Source organism: Homo sapiens, chromosome 8, assembly GCF_000001405.40.
Source record: "Homo sapiens chromosome 8, GRCh38.p14 Primary Assembly".
NCBI lineage: Eukaryota > Metazoa > Chordata > Mammalia > Primates > Hominidae > Homo > Homo sapiens.
The window spans coordinates 103,943,331-103,966,522 of record NC_000008.11 but is presented as its reverse complement, the minus strand read 5'-3'; the positions used below and the strand labels follow the sequence as shown (position 1 = coordinate 103,966,522).

Below are 23,192 nucleotides of genomic sequence, written 5' to 3'. Positions count from 1 at the left end.
TAATTAAGAGAAACAGGGTATAAAAATTACTAATATCAGAAATGAAAAAGAGGACATCACTACAGATCCCACGGACATTAAAAGGATAATAAAGGACTATTATGAAAACTCTATGCCCACAAATTTGATAATGTAGATGAAACTGGACCAATTCCTTGAAAGACACAGTTATGTCAAATTCAAACAAAAACAGATAACCTGAACAGGCCTACATCTATTAAATAAATTGAATCAATAATTAATATCCTCCTAAAATGGAAAGCAACACAGTTTAGATCGATTCACTGGTAAATTCTACCAAACAAGAAAGAAATTATTCAATTTTTCTACAATCTCTTTCAGAGAACAGAATCAGAGAGACTACTCTCTAACTCATTTTATAAGGCCAGTATTACCTCAATATCAAAACCAGACAAAGACATTAAAAGAAAAGAATACATCTCTCATGAACATTACTGCAAAAATTATCAATGTAATGTTAGCACACTGAATCCAACAATGTATAAAAAGAATTATACACAATAAGTGGGATTAATCTTGGATACACAAAGCTGTTTCCACATTCAAAAATCAATTAATGTAATCCACCACATCAACAGGCTATAAAAAAAAATCACATGACTAAATCAATAGACGGAGAAAAGACAGTTTGACAAAATCTAACATCCTGAATTTACTAAAAACTCCCAGTACACTAGGAATATGGGGGATCTTCCTCAAGTTGATGTAGAATATCTACCAAAAACCTACAGCTAACATCATATTTACCAGTTAAAAAAAGCTCAAAACTTTCCCACTGAGATCAGAAACAAGGTAAGGATGTCCACTCTCACCACTTGTATTCAACACTGTACTGGAAGTACTTAGATAATTCAATAAGGAAGAAAAGAAAATACATGCATACAGATTAGGGAGAAAGAAATAAAACTCTTTTTGTGATGCCATGATTGTCTATGTAAAAACCCAAAAGAATTGAAACAAAGAAACAAAAAGCTCCAGGAACTAATAAGTGATTATAGAAATGTTGTAGGATATAAGGTTAATATTCCAAAGTCAATAACTTTCCCATATATCAACAATGAACAAGTGAAATTAAAAATGCAACACCATTTACATTAGCAATTCCCAACAACGAAATACTTAGGTATAATCTAACAAAATATGTATAAGATCTACATGAGAAAAACAACAAAACTCTGATGAATGAAATAAAAAAGAACTAAATAAATAGATATTCCATATAAAGGAATACTCAATATTGTCAAGATGTCCAATCTTCCCAACTTGACCTACAGATTCAAAGCAATCTCAATCAACTTCTCAGCATATCAATTTGTGGAGTCTGATAACCAGATTCCAGACCTCATATGGAGAAGTAAAAGACAGAAGATTCAACACAGTATTGAAGGAGAAGAATGAAGTTGGAGAATTGACCCTGACTTTTCAATACTTACTATGAAACTACAGTAATCAGGACACTGTGGTACTCTTTGGTCAACGAATAGACAAATAAATCAATGGAACATATAGACAGCCTAGAAATAAACTGATATACATATATTGAACTGATCTCTGGCAACATAAAAGCAAAGGCAATACAATGGAGCAATGATGGTCTTTTCAACAAATGGTGCTGGAACAATTGGATGTCCACATGCAAAATAGGGAACCTAGACACAGACATTACACTCTTCAAAAATGCATCAGATATGTAAATATAAAATGCAAAATAATAAAACTCCTAGAAGATAACATAGGAGAAATCATAGATAACCTTGGGTATGGCAATAAATTTTTAGATATAACACCATAGGCATGATTGATGAAAGAAATGATTAATAACCTGAATTTCAATGAAATTAAAACTGCTCTGCAAAAGACAATGTCAAGACAATCCCTGCTTTAAGAAGCCACAGAAGAGAGAAAATATGTGTAAAAGACACATTTTATAAAGGACTGTTGTCCAAAATATACAGAGAACTCTTAAAACTCAACAATAAGAAAACAAACAACCCAATTAAAAAATAATGGGCCAAAGACCTGAGCAGACACATCACCAAAGAAATTAAACAGATGGCAAATAAGCATATGAAAAGATGTTCAACCTCATATGTCATCAGGGAAATGCAAATAAAAACAACAAGATACCACTATACACCTATTGGAATGGTCAGAACACTGACAACACCAAATGCTGGCAAGATGTGGAACAACAGGAGCTCTCATTCAACAGGAACTCTCATTCATTGCTGGTGGGAATGCAAAATGGTACAGACGTTTTGGAACTTTCTAACAAAACTATACTCTTAGCATACGATCCAGCAATTGTGCTGGTTGGCGTTTGCGAAAAGGAGTTGAAAACATGTCCACACAAAAACCTGCACACAGATGTTTATAGCAGCTTTATTTATAATTGCCAAAACTCAGAAGCAACCAAGATGTCCTTCAGCAGATGAATCAATAAACAAACTGTGGTATATCCAGACAATGGAATATTATTCAGCACTAAAAATAAATGAGCTATCAAACCATGAAAAGACAAAGCATATTACTAAGTGAAAGATGCCTATCTGAAAGGCTACAAACTGTATGATTCCAACTATGTGACATTCTGGAAAAGGCAAAACTATGGAGACAGTAAGAAGATCAATAATTGCCAGGGGTTAGGAGAAAGGGAAAGATGAATTTTTAAGGTAGTGGAAATATTCTGCATGATAATATAATGATGGATACATGTCATTATCAATTTGTCCAAATCCAATGAATATTTGACACCAAGAGTGAGCCCCAATGTAAACTATGGACCATGGGTGATTATGATGTGTCAAAGTAGGTTCATCAGTTGTAACAAACATACCAGTTTGGTGGAGGAGGTTGATAATGGGAGAGGCTATGAATGTGTTGGGGTAGGAAGACATATGGGAAATCTGTATACCTTCCTCTCAATTTTGCTATAAACCTAATGCTGCCCTAAAATTTAAAAAAACACATAGAAAATATTACTTCTGGCATAGTTAATATTCAAGACATCTGCCTTGCAAGCTTAGAAAAACTGAATAAGTTAGTCGAAACAGTTCCTACTTAAGAACAGTTTTGATAGTTCAGGTTTATTATGAATGATTGTAATTGATACTCTGAATTTGACTTTATTCAATGTGCAATTGGAAAGAAATCTCTGCATATAAGCAACAAACTATCAATAGATTTTGCTGGTTTGTTGACTCATACTATGTGTTTAAATATTATTAAGAGAGGTAGGGGTGCGCATTTTGTATATGTATACATTGCATTTCACATCTGAGTTGCTTTACCCAGAAAATATATTATTTATTTTATCTGGTGGTCCTTAAATTATTTGATAAGCTATTGATTAAAAAATTTATTCTCTATTAAAACTAGTTTTAATATTGGAGTTGTAAAATGAAAAGGCTATAAAGAGGAAATGTAAGGAAAATATTTAACAGAACTAATATATATTTAAGTCTTGGTGATCATAAGTCTTATGTAAATGTAATTCCTACAGCATTTACTAAAGTGATGGGTTATGAAAAAAAACTACATATACCATAATTTCAGAAACTACAATACCATCATCCTAATTTTTGAGTACTAAAGGTATTGTTAAAGTGTAGCATATCCAAAATTTAGCTGGGTTTAGAAAAAATAAGGGATTAGTTAGTCCTAGTTAGTACACTCAATAGGTATCGTGCCCTAGTTAGTAACCCTAGTTAGTACACACACTAGGTAGTGTGCACCTGTAGTCCCAGCTACTGGGGAAGCTGAGCTGAGAGGGTCAAATGAGCCTGGGGAAGTTGAGGATGCAGTGAGCTGTGATTGCACTACTGCACTCCAGCCTGGGCAACAGAGTGAGACCCAGTCTCAAAAACCAATCAATCAATCAATCAATCAATAAAAAATAAAGTGTAGTATATTACGAAAAATCTATTTCTCAAAATCGCATTGGATTTCAAAGTAGCAAAATATAGTATATTTCATGGCAGTCTTTTCAGTGTCTTATTAAACGATTCACCAGACAGTTTCTGACTGGCAAAATAATAAGAACAATAATGTCCAGATAGGAAAGAATGTTTTTCATATGAAGAAACTTAATGAATCCAGAGTAAGCACTTTGAGTGGGGTAGGGTTTCTAAACACAATTCTGTAGTGCCAGAAAATTATTCCAGAGACTATTAACCCAAATAAATGAAAAAATATACAACTTTTTCAAAAGATACAACTCCTTTTATAGGAGGGAAAAACTTAAAATGATCATATTAAATAAAGAAATATTTCTGTCATCTTGAAAACAGAAAATGAAAGGACAGAAACATCCAAAAATGGCATCAAGATGAACGATCTGAATGGAAAGAATTTGGAAGAAGAAAACCTAATGGACTAGATATTTACAAAAGATAAGAAATGGAATAGTCAAATAACAAAGGAATAGAATACAAATAGAAAAAAAAATTAATGATCTCCAAGAAAGCAATCATGAGAAATATTTCTCAAAACTACTTTATGAGTTTTAGCTCTTCTAAACCACAATACATGAAGAGTATTTTTGTAGTCTTATATTGTTCACCCTTAGTACAAAGAAAGGGAAAAAATAATCATTGAGTTTTTAAAAAGTGGTACACTGATAAAGGCATGCTAACTGACTCTTAACAAAAATTGGCAAAAAAATATTGTTATCAATCACTAATGCAACTGTGGCATGCCTTGCATACATTTTGTTTAGAGTAAAATTAGTCATAATTATGAAATCTATTAGGTTATTTAACCTTCAAAAGGAATAGAATACTTTATTTTACAATATTAAAGGTATTACATGTAAACATTGTCATCAGAACTTGCAGAAAAGATATATACTTACCTAAAATATTAAACCATTGGATAAGTTTCTAACTTTAAAATGAGGCAAATATTTTAAACTACAATACTATAATTTCAAAACGTAGCTGTACATGATACTTCATATAAAAACAATTTTAAAGTTTCAAAAACTCCCATTTAAACATTTGACATATTTAGATATGGTGGTTACATAAAAAAGATTTCATCTTTTTTCCACCATATTAGTGCAGTATAAAAAAGTCTGATTATGCAAGAACTCCTCCAATTTATTGTAAAATCCTTATTATTGTCTTAAAATAGAAAATTTATTGACATCTACGTATCTGGTATCTTTCAAGACTATCCAATCTAATTGGTACAGGTGTTCCAGCAATTGGGATTACTCAGGGGTTTAAGTTGTCATAGGTTGCCATAGGCTGTTTTGGAGGGTGAGAAGACGAGTTATATCTTTCTCTTTTATTTATTTACTTTTATGGTAAATGATGATGAATTGCACTCCCTTTTTAATACTATAAAATAATTCTAAAATTCTTACCTGATACTACACCAATTCCATCATCACAGTCATAGTCAGAGACTTCACTATCACTTATTCTCTTTGACCCTATAAAGTAAACAATAGCAATAATTAAAAATTCTGATTCTCTAAGGAAGAAAATTCCTCAAACACCTGAAAAACAAACGAAAATATTCTGAGTGAATCAGTTAATAACAAAAAATATGTACAGAAGAAAAGTCCTTATGAGCTTTTTGTCATTTATTTTCACATGCATTTCATGACGTGAGGATATGGGTGATGAGGAGTTAACAATTTATACAATTATTATTCTGCAGATGTATAAGATAAAGTTCCTAAATGGTTTAAAGCTTAAAATAACATTAAATACTAAATAATATGTGTAAGTTATCCAACACTGATAAAATCTATTAGAAAATAGATAAGTCAAGTTAATTTTAGATGCTTATGGACAAAGACACTTAAGACCAGATAAATTTCAAAACACAATGTGTTATATTCAAATGCATGAATGTGTCTTTTTCTAATATGCATCACCAATACATTGAATATAGTCAGTTCCTTATTTTTCATGCTCATGGAGAGAAAGTATAATTCAGAAAAGCAAACTCACTTAAGACATCTTAAATATCCTTTTTAAAAAAACTATGTAGTTTAGCTATTTGTCTATTGCTTTGAAAAGACAATAAGAAAAAAGTCATCCACAATACTAATACATCAAAATTGTGAGTTTTGTTATGTTTTCTAAGAAATAGACTAGGAAAGGCACTCATAGTTATTACAATTCAAGAGCACCATGTTTGTGTTTTTCCTCACATAACAAATCTATAGCAAAATTTTTAAATGTGAATCTTACTGTGGCAAAAATAGCATCAAATTGAATCAACCAGAGCTTTGAGGACTAAAGTAGATTGTGACTACACGCTTATATATGAAATTATTGCATATAAAAACAAACGTTGTTATTTGTTTTTAATTTGTTTTCACCTCCATGTGTTTCAGGAACAGACACACCCCACACAACAGAATTCTTTATTAGTCTTGCTAGCGGTCTATCAATTTTGTCGATCTTTTAAAAAAATCCAGCTCCTGGATTCATTGATTTTTTGACGGGTTTTTTGTGTCTCTATCTCCTTCAGTTCTGCTCTGATCTTAGCTATTTCTTGCCTTCTGCTAGCTTTTGAATGTGTTTGCTCTTGCTTCTCTAGTTCTTTTAATTGTGATGTTAGGGTGTCAATTTTAGATCTTTTCTGCTTTCTCTTGTGGGCATTTAGTGCTATAAATTTCCCTCTACACACTGCTTTAAAGACTGAAATATAATTTGAGCCTCAGTGAGGAAGCCAAAGGTACAATTCTGTAATATGTTAGATGATAGGGAAGAGGGTGCTTATCAAATTGCAAAATTGTATATGGTTTGGAAGAAAAGGTAGAGATACACGGTGGCTCACGCCTGTAATCCTAGCACTCTGGGAAGCTGAGGCAGGCAGACTGACTGAGCTTAGGCATTCGAGACCAGCCTGGGCAACATAGTAAAACCCCATCTCTACTAAAATACAAAAAAATAAAAAAAGAAAAAAAATATTAGTCAGGCATGGCGGCATGCACCTGTAGTCCCAGCTACTAGGGAGGTTGAGGCAGGAGGCGGAGGTTGCAGTGAGCCAAGATCACGCCACTGCACTACAGCCTGGGTGACAGAGTGCGATTCCATCTCAAAAAAAAAAAATTACTTTTTTAGGTATGCATGTTAATATTTCAAAAGTAACCACTAAAACAATAGAGATTAAAAGCAGACAGAAAGCAGAGTATAAAAATAGTAATAACATGTCCCTATTTATGATACAAAAAATAAAAAATAATAATCCATATACATTTGTCTGTGTGTGCATTTTTGAGATATTGTCACTATAATTGTAATTTTGCAATTTCTCTTTCACTTCCTTCTGGTTTTTAATACAGGTGTGATAAAACCAAAGTCTAGGATTTTAGATGCTTCTCTGATCCTGATAAATACCCTTTTTGAATCTTCTCCCAGACCTGAGCTAAGCACACCTGGAGATTCATGACAAGGACATCAGTTGCAGTTGCTTCTGTAGATGGCCCACAAAATCAGGGTGCAAGGGGATGAGAGATAAACACAGGTTCCAGTTTGTCTGCATGGGTTCTAGTTTTCTTTGATTTTCCTTTTTGGATGCGTTTTTCCTAACCAGTCTATCCTTCTGTCCCACAGAGACTTCCAGAATCACTACTATATGAACAGGCAACAGACTTTCACAGACTTTTTCACTAGCTCCTCTTCGTGGTCTTTGGCAAGTGACTTTTCTCAGACTCCTCAACCATTGTCTTACAACCTTCCTAAAACAATTCCCAGTTTCTCCCACCACTTTGTAAAGTTTAATCTTTAAAATAAATATCTTATTTGGTAGTACTTCAGCACTAAATGCTTTGGCTTCCTCACTGAGGCTTAAATTATATTTCAGTCATTAATCCACCTAGAGTTTAGTTTTTTGTACATGGTGCAAGAAAAAGATCAAGTTCTATTTTCTTTTCTTTATGAATAGCATTTTTTCAAGCTCATTTATTCTTTTTTAAACTTTTATTTTAGGTTTGAAGGTATATGTGAAGGTTTGTTACATAGGTCAACTCGTGTCCCGAGAGTTTGTTTTACAGAATATTTCATCACCCAGGTATTAAGCTCAGTATCTAACAGTTATGTTTTCTGCTCCTTTCTATCCTCCCACCCTCCACCCTCAAGTAGACCCCAGGGTCTGTTGTTCCTTTCCTTGTGTTCATGAGTTTTCTTTATTTAGCTCCCACTTTCAAGTGAGAACATGTGGTATTTGGTCTTCTGTTCCTGCATTAGTTTGCTAAGTATAATGGCCTTACAGTTCCATCCATGTTCCTGCTAAAGACATGATGTTGTTCTTTTTTATGGCGTCATAGTATTCTATGGTGTATATGTACCACATTTTCTTTATCCAATCTGTCATTGATGGGCATCTAGGTTAATTCCATGTCTTTGCTATTGCGAATAGTGCTACAAAGAACATTCACATGCATGTGTCATTATGGTAGAATGATTTATATTCACCTGGGAATATACCCAGTAATGGGATTGCTGGGTCAAATGGTAGTTCTACATTTAGCTCTATGAGGAATCACCATACTGCTTTACACAACAGTTGAACTAATTTACACTCCCACCAACAATGTGTAAGTGTTCCCTTTTCTCCACAACCTTGCCAGCATCTGTTATTCTTTGACTTTTTAATGATAGCCATTTTGTCTGGTGTGCGATGGTATCTCATTGTAGTTTTGATTTGCATTGCCCTAATGATTAGTGATATTGAGCTTATTTTATATGCTTGTTGGCCGCATGCATGTCTTCTTTTTTTATTATTACACTTTAAGTTCTGGGGTACATGTGAACAACGTGCAGGTTTGTTACATAGGTATACACATGCCATGGTGGTTTGTGGCATCCATCAAACCATCAACTACATAAGGTATTTCTCCTAATGCTATCCCTCCTCTAGCCCCTCACTCCCCAACAGGCCCCGCTGTGTGAGGTTCCCCTCCCTGTGTCTATGTGTTCTCAATGTTTAACTCCCAGTTATGAATGAGAACATGCGGTGTTTCATTTTCTGTTCTTGTGTTAGTTTACTGAGAATGATGGTTTCCAATGCCATCCATGTCCCTGCAAAGGACATGAACTCATCCTTTTTATGGCTGCATAGTATTCCATGGTGTGTATGTGCCACATTTTCTTTATCCAGTCTATCATTGATTCATTGATGAGCATTTGGGTTGGTTCCAAGTCTTTGCTATTGTGAACAGTGCTGCAATAAACATACATGTACATGTGTCCTTACATTAGAATGATTCATAATCCTTTGGGTATATAACCAGTAATGGGATTGCTGGGTCAAGTGGTATTTCTAGTTCTAGATCCTTGAGGAATTGTCACACTGTCTTCCACAATGGTTGAACTAATTTACACTCCCACAAACAGTGTAAAAGCGTTCCTATTTCTCGATATCCTCTCCAGCATCTGTTATTTCCTTACTTTTTAATGATCGCCATTCTAACTGGCATGAGATGGTACCTTACTGTGGTTTTGATTTACATTTCCCTAATTACCAGTGATAATGAGTTTTTTTATATGTTTGTTGGCCACATAAATGTATTCTTTTGATAAGTGTCTGTTTATATCCTTCCTCCACTTTTTGATGCATTTGTTTGTTTTTTTCTTGTAAATCTGTTTAAGTTCTTTGTAGATTCTGGATATTAGCCCTTTGACAAATGGACAGATTGCAAAAGTTTTCTCCCATTCTGTAGGTTGCCTGTTCACTCTGATGATAGCTTCTTTTGCTGTGCAGAAGCCCTTTAGTTTAGTCAGATCCTATTTGTCTATTTTGGCTTTTGTTGCCATTGCTTTTGGTGTTTTAGTCATGAAGTCTTTGCCCATGCCAATGTCCTGAATGGTATTGTGTAGGTTTTATTCTAGGGTTTTTATGGTTTTAGGTCTTATGTTTAAGTCTTTAATCCATCTTGAGTTAATTTTTGTATAAGGTGTCAGGAAAGGATCTAGTTTCAGCTTTCTGCATATGGCTAGCCACTTTTCTGAACACTATTTATTATATAGGGAATCCTTTTCCCATTGCTTGTTTTTGTCAGGTTTGTCAAAGATCAGATGGTTGTAGATGTGTGGCATTATTTCTGAGGCTTCTGTTCTGTCCCATTGGTCTATATATCTGTTTTGGTACCAGTGCCATGCTCTTTTGGTTACTGTAGCCCTGCAGTGTAGTTTGAAGTCAGGTAGCGTGGTGCCTCCAGCTTTGTTCTTTCTGCTTATGGTTGTCTTGGCTATGTGGACTCTTTTTTGGTTCCATATGAAATTTAAAGTAGTTTTTTCCAATTCTGTGAAGAAAGTCAATGGTAGCTTGATTGGGATAGCATTAAATGTATAAATTACTTTGGGCAGTATGGCCATTTTGAGTTTTGGTTCTTCCTATCCATGAGCATGGAATGTTTTTCCATTTGTTTGTGTCCTCTCTTACTTCCTTGAGCAGTGGTTTGTAGTTCTCCTTGAAGAGGTCCTTCACATCCCTTGTAAGTTGGATTCCTACGTATCTTTTTTCTCTTTGTAGCAATTGTGAATGGGATTTCACTCATCATTTGGCTCTATGTTTGTCTGTTATTAGTGTATAGGAATGCTTGTGATTTTTGCACATTGATTTTGTATCCTGAGACTTTGCTGAAGTTGCTTATTAGCTTAAGGAGATTTTGGGCTGACATGATGGGGTTTTCTAAATACACAATCATGTCATCTGCAAACAGAGATAATCTGACTTCTCTTTTTCCTACTTGAGTACCCTTTGTTTCTTTCTCTTGCCTGATTGCCCTGGCCAGAACTTCCAATACTACCTTGAATAGGAGTGGTGAGAGAGGGCATCCTTGTCTTGTGCCAGTTTTCAAAGGGAATGCTTCCAGTTTTTGACAATTCAGTATGATATTGGCTGTGGGTTTGTCACAAATTGCTTGTATTATTTTGAGATATGTTCCATCAGTGCCTAGTTTATTGAGACTTTTTAGCATGAAGGGGTGTTGAATTTTGTTTAAGGCCTTTTCTGCATCTATTGAGATAATCATGTGGTTTTTATCATTGGTTCTGTTTATGTGATGGATTATGTTTATTGATATGGGTATGTTGAACCAGCCTTGAATCCCAGGGATGAATCCAACTTGATTGTGGTGGACAACCTTCTTGATGTGCTGCTGGATTCAGTTTGTCAGTATTTTACTGAGGATTTTCACATTGATGTTCATCAGGGATATTGGCCTGAAATTGTCTTTTTTTGTTGTGTCTCTGCCAGGTTTTGTTATCGGGATGATGCTGGCCCCATAAAATGAGTTAAGGAGGATTCCCTCTTTTTCTACTGTTTGGGGTAGTTTCAGAAGGAATGGTACCAGCTCCTCTTTGTACCTCTGGTAGAATTTGGCTGTGAATCCATTTGGTCCTGGACTTTTTTTGATTGGGTAGGCTATTAATTGCTGCCTCAATTTCAGAACTTGTTATTGGTCTATTCAGGGATTTGACTTCTTCTAGGTTAGTCTTGGGAGGGTGTATGTGCCCAGGAATTTATCCATTTATTCTAGATTTTCTAGTTTGTTTGCATTGAGGTGTTTATAGTATTCTCTGATGGTACTTTGTATTTCTGTGGGATTGGTAGTGATATCCCCTTTATCATTTTTTACTGCATCTATTTTATTCTTCTCTATTTTCTTGTTTATTAGTCTGGCTAGTAGTCTGTTTTGTTTGTCTTTTCAAAAAACCAGCTCCTGGATTTGTTGATTTTTTTGAATGTTTTTTCGTGTCTCTGTCTCCTTCAGTTCTGCTCCGATCTCAGTTATTTCTTGTCTTCTGCTAGCTTTTGGATTTGTTTGCTCTTGCTTCTCTAGTTCTTTTAATTGCGATGTTAGGGTGTAAATTTTAGATCTTTCCTGCTTTCTCTTGTGGGCATTTAGTGCTATAAATTTCCCTCTACACACTGCTTTAAATGTGTCTCAGAAATTCTGGTACGTTGTGTCTTTGCTCTCATTGGTTTCAAAGAACATCTTTATTTCTGCCTTCATTTCGTTATTTACCCAGTAGTCATTCAGGAGCAGGTTGTTCAGTTTCCATGTAGTTGTGTGGTTTTGAGTGAGTTTCTTAATCCTGAATTCTAATTTGATTGCACTGTGGTCTGAGAGACTGTTTGTTATGATTTCCGTTCTCTTGCATTTGCTGAGGAGTGTTTTACTTCCAATTAGGTGGTCAATTTTAGAATAAGTGTGATGTGGTGCTGAGAAGAATGTATATTCTGTTGATGTGGGGTGGAGAGTTCTGTAGATGTCTATTAGGCCGCTTGGTCAGAGTTGGGTTCAAGTCCTGAATATCCTTGTTAATTTTCTGTCTCGTTGATCTGTCTAATGTTGACAGTGGGGTGTTAAAGTCTCCCACTATTATTGTGTGGGAGTATAAGTCTCTTTGTAGGTCTCTAAGAACTTGCTTTATGAATCTGGGTGCTCTGGTATTGGATGCATATATTGTTAGAATAGTTAGCTCTTCTTGTTGCATTGAACCCTTTACCATTATGTAATGGCCTTCTTTGTCTCTTTTGATCTTTGTTGGTTTAAAGTCTGTTTCATCAGAGACTAGGATTGCAACCCCTGCTTTTTTTTTGCTTTCCATCTGCTTGGTAGATCTTCCTCCATCCCTTTATTTTGAGCCTATATGTGTCTCTGCACATGAGATGGGTCTCCTGAATACAGCACACTGATGGGTCTTGACTCTTTATCCAATTTGCCAGTCTGTGTCTTTTAACTGGGGCATTTAGCCTGTTTTACATTTAAGGTTAATATTGTTATGTGTGAATTTGATCCTGCCATTATGACCCTAATGGGTTATCTTGCCCATGAGTTTATGCAGTTTCTTCATAATGTCGATGGTCTTTACAATTTGGTGTGTTTTTGCAGTGGCTGGTATCGGTTGTTCCTTTCCATGTTTAGTGATTCCTTCAGGAGCTCTCGTAGGACAGGCCTGGTGGTGACAAAATCTCTCAGCATTTCCTTGTCTGCAAAGGATTTTATTTCTGCTTCACTTATGAAGCTTAGTTTGGCTGGATATGAAAATCTGGCTTGAAAAATCCTTTCTTTAAGAATGTTGAATATTGGCCCCCACTCTCTTCTGGCTTGCAGGGTTTCTGCCGAGATAGCCACTGTTACTCTGATGGGCTTCCCTTTGTGGGTAACTCGCCCTTTCTCTCTGGCTGCCCTTAACAGTTTTTCCTTCATTTCAACCTTGGTGAATCTGACAATTATGTGCCTTGGGGTTGCTCTTCTCAAGGAGTATCTTTGTGATGTTGTTTGTATTTCCGAATTTGAATGTTGGCCTGCCTTGCCAGGCTGGGGAAGTTCTCCTGGATAATATCCTGAAGAGTGTTTTCCAACTTGGTTCTGTTCTCCCGTCACTTTCAGGTACACCAATCAAACATAGATTTGGTCTTTTAACATCATCCCATACTTCTTGGAGTCTTTGTTCATTTTTCACTCTTTTTCCTTTAATCTTGTTTTATTTCATTGAGTTGATCTTCAATCTCTGATATCCTTTCTTCCACTTGATAAATTCAGCTAATCATACTCATGTATGCTTCACAAAATGCTCATGATGTGTTTTTCAGCTCCATCAGGTCATTTATGTTCTTCTCTAAACTGGTTATTCTAGTTAGCAATTCGTCTAACCTTTTTTCAAGGTTCTTAGCTTCCTTGCAGTGGGTGAGGACATGTTCCTTTAGCTTGGAGGAGTTTGTTATTACCCACTTTCTGAAGTCGACTTCTGTCAATTCGTCAAACTCATTCTCTATCCAGTTTAGTTCCCTTGCTGGCAAGGAGTTGTGATCCTTTGAAGGAGAAGAAGCGTTCTGGTTTTTGGAATTTTCAGCCTTTTTGCACTGGTTTCTCCCCCATCTTCATGGATTTATCTATCTTTGGTCTTTGAAGTCAGTGACCTTCAGATGGGGTCTCTGAGTGGACGTCCTTTTTGTTGATGTTAATACTATTCCTTTCTGTTTGTCGGTTTCCTTCCAACAGTCAGGCTCCTCTGCTGCAGGTCTGCTGGAGTTTGCTAGAGGTCTGCTGCATACCCTGTTTGCCTGGGTGTCACCAGCAGAGGCTGCAGATCAGCGAAGATTGATGCCTGTTCCTTCCTCTGGAAGCTTTGTCCCAGAGGGGCACCCACCAGATGCCAGCCAGAGTTCTCCTGTATGAGGTGTCTGTCAGCTCCTACTGGGAGGTGTCTCCTAGTCAGGATACATGGGGGTCAGGGACCCACTTGAGGAGGCAGTCTGTCCCTTATCGGAGCTCAAACACTGTGCTGGGAGATCTGCTCCTCTCTTCAGAGCTGAGCTGCCAGGCAGGAACGTTTAAGTCTGCTGAAGCTGCGCCCCCAACCGCTCCTTCCCCCAGGTGCTCTGTCCCAGGGAGGTGAAGGTTTTATCCGTAAGTCCCTGACTGGGGCTGCTGCCTTTTTTTCAGAGATGCCCTTCCCAGGGAGGAGGGAATCTGCGGAGGCAGTCTGGCCACAGTGGCCTTGCTGAGCTGTGGTGGGCTCCACCCAGTTCAAACTTCCTGGCCGCTTTGTTTACACTGTGAGGTCGAAACCGCCTACTCAAGGCTCAGCAATGGTGGATGCAACTCCCCACACCAAGCTCAAGCGTCCCAGGTAGAACTCAGACTGCTGTGCAAGCAGCAAGAATTTCAAGACAGTGTATCTTAGCTTGCTGGGCTCCATTGAGGTGGGATCCGCTGAGCCAGACCACTTGGCTCCCTGGCTTCAGCCCACTTTCCAGGAGAGTGAATGGTTCTGTCTTGCTGGCATTCTGGGTGCCACTGGAGTATGAAAAGCAAAACTCCTGTGGCTAGCTCAGTGTCTGCCCAAATGGCTACCTAGTTTTGTGCTGGAAACCCAGGGCCCTGGTAGCATGGGCACTGCAGTGAATCTCCTGGTCTGCGGGATGTGAAGACCATGGGAAAAGCACAGTATCTGGGCCAGAGTCCAAGGTACAGTCCCTAATGGGTTCCCTTGGCTGGGAAAGGGAGTTCTCCAACCCCTTGCACTTCCTGGGTGAGGCAACGCCCCATCCTGCTTTGGCTTGCCCACCTTAGGCTGCACCCACTTCCAAGCAGTCCCAATGAGATGAACTGGGTACCTCAGTTGGAAATGCAGAAATCACCCGCCTTCTGCGTCGATCTCGCTGGGAGCTGCAAACCAGAGGTGTTCCTATTCGGTCATCTTGCCAGCAATTGTGCCAGTTTTCAAGGGAAATGCTTCCAGCTTTTGCCCATTCACTATGAAGTTGGCTATGGGTTTGTCATAGGTGGCTCTCATTATTTTGAAGTATGTTCCTTCAATGCCTAGTTTATTGAGAGTTTTAAACATGAAGAAACGTGGAATGTTATTGAAAGCCACTTCTGCATCTATTGAAATGATTATGTGATTTTTGTATTTAGTTTTGATTATGTGATGAATCACATTTATTGATTTGTGCATGTTGAACCAATCTTGCATCCCAGGGATAAAGAATACTTGATTGTGGTGAATTGACTTTTTGATGTGGCACTGTATTTTTCAATTTTCAATTGTTTATTGCTGGTACATAGAAATAATTGATATTGTATCTTGATCTTATATCCAGTAACCTTGATAGATTCACTTCTTATAATAGTTTTTGTATAGATCCCATTTGACTTTCTATATGAATGAACATGTATGCAAATAAGCACCCTTTTACTTCTTTTTCAATCTGGATGCATTTGATTTTTCTTGCCTTATGATACAAGCTAGAATCACAATTACAACTTTCAATAACAGCTGGGAGGGCAGACATCATTTCTCATTTGTGACCTTGGGAGGAAAGAATGCAGTCTTTTACCAATATGATTTAGCTGTAGGGTTTGATACATGTTCTTTATTGGATTGAGGAAGTTCCTTTCTATCCTACTTTGCTTAGGGTCTTTTACAGGGATGAACATTGGATTTTATCAAATGCTCTTTCTTGAGATGATCTCTTGAGATTATGATATAATTTTTTTCTTTTTTAGTTTAATATGGTGAGTCACATTCTGTTTTTCAAATGTTAAACATTGCATCCGTGGTATAAAAAACATTTGGTCATGATATATTATCCCTTTTATGTATTGTGGATTCAATTTTCTGTATTTTTATTTTGCAAAATATTTCTAAATTTAATATGCTAAATTTGCTAAAATTTTCATGAGGTTTATTGGTCTGCAGATTTCTTTTAATATGTTAGTTGTTGGTATTAGAGTAATGTTTGTTTCATAAAATGAGCTGGATGGTATTCCCAACGTTATAATATTCTGCAAGAGTTTGTAAAGAATTGGTATTTTATCACCCTTACATGTTAGGCAGACTTTATTGATAAAGTCATCTGGGCCTGAAATTTTTTTTGAGGGAAAATTTTTAGCTACAAATTCCATTTCTCAAATAGATATTGGGCTACTCAAGTTATTTCTTTCTTCTTGGGAGAGACTCAAGTTTGTGTGTTTCAAGGAAATTTTCTATTTCACCTAGGTTGTCAAATGTATTTGCATCAAGTTGTTCACAATTTTCCCTTACTGTCTTTTTAATATTTGTAGAATGTGTACTGATATCACCTTTTTCCAGATATTGATAATTTGTCTTCTTTCTTTGCTGATCATTTTGCCTAAAGGCTTATCAATTATATTGATAATTTCATAGATCCAACCTTTGGTTCGATTTACTTTCTCAATTGACTTTCTGTCTTTATTTCACTTATTTCTATTTTGACTTTTATTCCCTTTCTTCTACTTAATTTGAGTCTATTTTGTTCTTCTTTTTGACGTTTGTTAAGGTGAAAACATGTCACTGATTTGAGAATTTTTTTGGTATTAATAATATAAGTCTTTAATGCTATACATTTCCCTACTGTTCTGCTTTAGTTGTATCCCATGAATATCGATACATTAGGTGTTCATTTCATTCAGTTCAAAATAATTTTTAATTTCCTGTTTAACTTCTCCTTTGATTCATGGCTATTTAGAAGTGTTATTTCATTTATAAATATTTCAAGCTTGTCCAGAGATTTTCTGTTATTGATTTCTAATTTATTTCTATCGTGATCAGATAACAAACTTTGACTTGAGTACTTTTAAACTTATCGATACTTGTTTGGGCAGGACTAAGGTCTACCTTAGTGAATGTTCTCAATGAACTTGGAGAGAAGGTGTTTTCTGACTTGTAGAATGTTTTGTAAATGTCAGATAAAACCTTCAAGCCTTCTATTTGTTCTACAAACATTGACAGCGGAGTACTAAAATCTCTTACTGTAATTGAGATTGTATCTATTCTGTAGTTTTATTACTGCATTTTCTTTTCTCTTCTCTTCTCCCTTTCCTTCCCTTTCCCTTTCCCTTTCCCTTTCCCTTTTTTTTTTTTTTTTTTTTTTTGACAGAGTCTCACTCTGTTGCCCAGGCTGGAGTGTAGTGGTGTGATCATGGCTCACTGCAGCCTCGACCTCCCAGGCTCAAGCCATCTTACCACCTCATCCTCTCAAGTAGCTGGAACTGCAGGTGCATGCCACTGAACCCGGCTAATTATTTTTTTTTTTTGTAAAAATGGGGTCTCATTATGTTGTACAGGTTGGTCTCGAACTCTCGGGCTCAATCAATTCTCCCACCTCAGCCTCCCAAAGAGGCTGAGATTACAGGTGTGAGCCATCATGCCTGGCTTTGACTAAAATTGAGGTATAATTTATATAACATAAATATTTGTTTTAAGTATACAGTTCAGAAATTTTCAGTAAATTCTAAAATTTGTGTATACATCACTACAATCTAATGTTGGAATATCTCCTTCACCCCCAAAAGATTGTTCACACCCATTTTCAGTCAGTGTCTATTGCTACTTCCAGCCAACTGCTAACTTAATCTGTCTCAATAGATTTGTCACTTCTATATATGTTATATAAGTAGAATCATAGAACACATGGCCTTTTGCATGTATCATCTTTCATTCAGCATTTAGCATAATATTTTTGAGGTTTGACTATATTGTAGTATGTAGCCGTATCTTCTTTCTTGTTATATATAGAAATCAATTGTGAGGATATACCACATTTTATTATCCATTCACAGGTTGATGAATATTTGGACTATTTCTACCTTTTAATCATTGTGAATAATGCTGCTGTGAACATTCACGTACAAGTCTTTCAGTGAACATTCACTTTCATTTCTCTTGAAGGTGAATTAGTGGTCATACGGTAAATTTATTTTTAACTTTTTAACAAAGACCAAACTGTTTTCCAAAGTGGTTGTACCATTTCACATTTACATCAGCAAATGGATGAGGGTTCCAATTTCTCCACATTCTTGCAAAAATTTGTTATCATCTTTCTTTTTTATTACATTCATTCTAGTGGGTGTTAAGTAATGTAATTGTGGCATAACTTGCATTTCACTAATAACTAACGATGTTGGGCAGCTTTTCATGGCCTTATTTGTGATCCATATATTTTAATCTTTCAAATAACTATCAAGTATTTGCCCACTTTTTGACAGCACTATTATCTTATTATTATTGCATTTTAAGGGCTCCTTATATATCATGGATGCAAGTCCTCTGTCAAATATATGACTCACAAATAAACATTATGTGCTGTATAATGATGTTTCAGTAAACAACTAACTGTATATAAGATAGCGGTCCCATACAATTATGATGGAGCTGAAAAATTCCCTATTGATGTCATAGCCATCACAATGTCACAGTATAATTACTTTTTTAATAAATAAAGTGTAGCCTAAGTGTTCGATGTTTATAAAGTCTACTATAGTATACAGTAATGTCCTAGGCCTTTGCATTAACTTACCAAGTTGCTCATTGACTCACCCTGAACAACTTCCAGTCCTGCAAGCTCCACTCATGATAAGTACCCTATTCACGTATATCATTTTTTAATCTTTTATACCATATTTTGACTGTACCTTTTCTATATTTACATACGTTTAGATAAACAAATACTTATCATTGCGTTACAATTGCTTATAGTATTCAGCACAGTAACATGCTCGTACAGGTTTGTAGCCTACAAGCAACAGATTATAACACATTGCTGAGGTGTATAGTAGGCTACACCACCTAGGCTTGTGTAAGTGCACTCTATGATGTTCATACAATGATGACAATGTTTAATGGCACATTTCTCAGAAAGTAACCTGGTCATTAGCTGCCACATGACTGTATTTTCTCCCAGCCTGAGGCTTTAAAAAAATCTTCTTAATGATGTCTTGAAAAGCAAATATTTTAAATTTTGATGCAGTCCAATGTATTATTTTTTATTGATCAAGCTTTTGGTGGTGTTTTGGGGAAAACTCTGCCTAACCCAAAGGAATGAAGATTTTTCTCCTATGTTTTCTTTGAAGACTTTTATAGTCTTAACTCTTACAGCTGGGTCTATTATCCATTTTAAGTTAATTTTTGTGTATAGTGTGAGGTCAGGTCTAAATTAACTATTTTGTATGTGGATATTAAATTGTTACAGCATTATTAGTAAAAAGACAACAACAACAAAAAACTATTCCCCCCCATTGATTTGCTTTGGATCCTTTGTTGAGAATCAACTGACCATGAATATAATTTTTAATTCTAAATTAGGTTCAATTTATCTATAGGTCTATCATTATGTCAGTATTACACCACTGCAATTACTGTAGCTGTACAATAAGTATGGAAATGAGGAAATATACATCTTCCAGATTTGTTTTGGCTGCTCTGGATCTTATACTTTTGCATATAAAGGCTAGAATCTGCTTACTAATTTCAGCAAAATATCCTGCTTAGATTTTGATAGGAATTGGGTTTAATCTGTAGACTAATTGGGGGAAGAGCTACCATCTTAATAATACTGGGTGTTCTAATTCATGCATGTGGAATACATCTCCATTTATTTATATCTCTTTTTCATTTCTCTGAACAATGTTTTGTGATTTTTTATTGTACGAGTTTGAACATCTTTTGTAAAATTTAATTCATTCTTATTTTTTTGTTGTTTTGTTTTTGTTTTTCATTTGTTTGTTTTGAGATGGAGTCTCGCTCTCTCACCCAGGCTGGAGTGCAGTGGCATGATTTTGGCTCACTGCAACTTCTGCCTCCCAAGTTCAAGCGATTATCCTGCTTCAGCTTCCTGAGTAGCTGTGATTACAGGCGCCTGCCACCACGCCAGGCTAATTTTTCTACTGTTAGTAAAGATGGGGTTTCACCATGTTGGCCAGGCTGGTCTCAAACTCCTGACTTCAAGTGATCTGCCTGCCTCAGCCTCCCAAAGTGCTGGGATTACAGGCATGAGCCACTGCACCTGGTCAAAAATGTTTTCTTAATTTCAGTATTAAAATGTTAATGAATAGATTCTAGTATATTGTTCATGTATCTCGGGACCTTGCTCTCCTTGTTTATTAGTTCTAGTAGTTTTTGTGTGGGTTCTTTAGAATTTTCTACATATAGAATCACGTCATCTGTGAATAAAGGCAGTTTCTCTCTCTTCTCCCTCACCATTCTGAATGCCTTTTATGTATTTTTCTTGCCTGACTGTCCTAACTACAATCTCTAGTGCACTGCTGAATAGAAGTGATAAGAAGAGACATCCTTTCCTAGTTATCAATATTAGAGGGAAAGCATTTATTACCATGAAATACGGTTTGTCATCTAAAGGGTGTTCATAGGTGGTCTTCATCAGAAAGTTCTCTTCTATGCCTACTTTGTGGAGGGTTCTCTTCTAGGCCTACTGTGTTCTCTTCTATGACCATTCACTTTTTTTTTTTTTTAATTGTGAATGAGCATTGAATTCTGCCAAAGCTTTATCTTCATATTTTCATATATTCATGTGGTTTTTGTTCTTTTTTCTGTTAATATGTTGAATTATATTAATTGACTTTTGGATAATAAATCAACTCTACATTACTAGGATAAATCCCTTTTGGTTATGGTGTATAATCTTTTGTATACACTGTTGGATTCGATTTATTAATAGTTTGTTGAAGATGTCTGTGTGTATGTTCATGAGGAATATTGGTCTGTAGTTTTCTTTTCTTTTAATGTGTTTGTCTGACTTTGGTATGAGGAAAATACTGGCCTTATAGAATGATTTGGTGGGTATTCCCTTTCTCTTTCTTATCAAGGAATTTGAGAAACATTAGTGTTTCTTTTCTTAGGTTTAAAAGAATTCAAGAATGAAGCCTAGGTTTTTCTTTGTGGGAAGATTTTTTCATTATCAATTCATTAATTCAACTTCTTTACTTATTACAGGTTTATTCAGATTTTTAGCTTTTTATGGATCAGTTTCTGTAATGTTGTTTAACTTTTTGGCATAGAGTTGTTCATTGTATTCCAATGTAATTCCCCAAAGGGGAATTACACACTTTTAATGATAACTGTTCATCTGTATGTTCTATCAAATATGATCACGATCTTTGAAATATGATACATATACTTAAAATTAAATGCAATATTTATCCACTGGATGAAGAAAAACCCTTAAGGAGGTTCTTGTCATCAAAGGAGTTTATAACATATTAGTAGATTTATTTATTCATATTCTGACTTGTACCTTCCATTATGACTAATACATCCTATTAGCCTAATTAGCCAAAGGTAATGTTGTTTTTAGCTTTCTATCTATTCATAAATGTTATTTCCTAGTTCTTGTTTCTTTCTTTTATGTGTATGCACATGTTTTTACTTATCTTCAGGCTTACATATCATTAATAAATTATTTATTAGAGGTTAGTTGATAGTGACAAGACTGACATGGTACTACATGCAGCCATTATATTACCCATGGGTAAGTTTAATACTATTACTAAATACCAGAAAGATCATATGGGGATGTGAAAATATTAAAAGCTACAAGATAAATTATAATAATTCCATGAAAATCCATGACACATACAGCTAACCAGTACTCTAATCTCATTGTTTCTCATATCCACTATCCCTAAGTAGTGTGGGGAAAAAAATGAAAAATGTTGGTAGATTTAAGCGTTTCAGGTATTCAGAGTCCTCAATCTATTACCTATTGCAATAAAAACTGAAGGCCAGTCCCGAATGAAAAGAAGATGCTGGCAAGTGTTAGCAGCCTATAAACTTTAAGAATTAGTACATAAAATATATTAGGTTGGTACATACAGTAGTAATCATCATGTAATAACCCACCATCCTACACTGTAATTCAGAGAGAAAGTACTGAATAGATACAATGGTCACAAAGAATAAAATTAATTTACATACAATTCATTGTAATGTAATTATTACAACAAAGGATGTCGTAATGACATTTGAAAATAGAAGTGTATGGGTGTTTACTATGTGGGGAGGCTGAAAGACATTGACACTGTAGAATTAGTGCTCAATTAATACCATCCAAAGGTACAAGACTGTATTAAGTGGAAATAAAATTCCAGTAATTAGAGAGGTTATTTTAAAAAGGAGTGAAAATAATTCTCTAGGCTTTCCTATGACTACTAAGTATCCCATAAGATCAATCCTTACCTCTAATTCTCTACTAATCAAGCAGACTTCTAACATATATAATGTATTCTTCTATTCAGCAGAAGGGTGTGATCCATATACACAATACTCATTTGTTAAGTTACCAGCTATACTTCCCATGATTAATAAATGACATGGCATTTGTGTTTATAAATTTATACTTCTAAAATTTGGTTAATGTCAATCAGTCCTGCAGCACTTGACAAAATGTTGCTAAAACTGGAGCATGCTGTCTCCGTAAAGATATAACTACCCCATGAATACTATGCAAAACAGTATGCATACACCTCAGTCTCCAATAGTAGATTCATTAGAAAAATAATGACCTGAGTTTTAGGGGCGAAAAGCCTACAATGTCATTATTCAATCTGGAAAATATTTCTGAGTTTATTTTAAGCATCTATGGAGTGATGTAATTCTATTTCATATTTCAGACTGTAAAATCCAGGGCAAAATGTGCAGGTAGATGATAATAACAATAGTAATAATAACATCAGTTTATATTATTGAGACTAATTAATTCTTATAACTACCCTGTAATGCAGGTATTACTATTTCCCTTTTATAAACAAAGAAAGTGAGGCATAGAGAGAGGATCTGCCACAAGACATACAGTTCTAAAGTGTAAGAATTAATATTTAAACTCAGGGTAGTCTGGAATTAAAGTTCATGGTTTCAACCACTATAGTATACTTG

The 23,192-nt window shown here is 35.5% G+C and overlaps 1 protein-coding gene across 64 annotated transcripts in view; it reads right to left on the bottom strand.

Moving 5' to 3' along the window:
- The window catches only part of RIMS2 (regulating synaptic membrane exocytosis 2), a 755,485-nt gene that overhangs the window by 289,572 nt on the left and 442,721 nt on the right, over positions 1-23,192 (bottom strand). For 63 of the 64 annotated variants that reach the window (NR_145711.2, XM_017014015.3, XM_017014010.3 and 60 more), the window contains one exon: positions 5,390-5,458. Coding sequence is in view for 62 of the 64 variants with exons in the window: in XM_017014015.3 (XP_016869504.1) it covers positions 5,390-5,458 (69 nt within the window). In the remaining 2 variants the exon portion in view is untranslated. Of the gene's footprint in view, positions 1-5,389; positions 5,459-15,117; positions 15,323-23,192 lie in introns of all 64 variants that reach the window. The other variant, NR_145710.2, reaches the window with a different exon arrangement.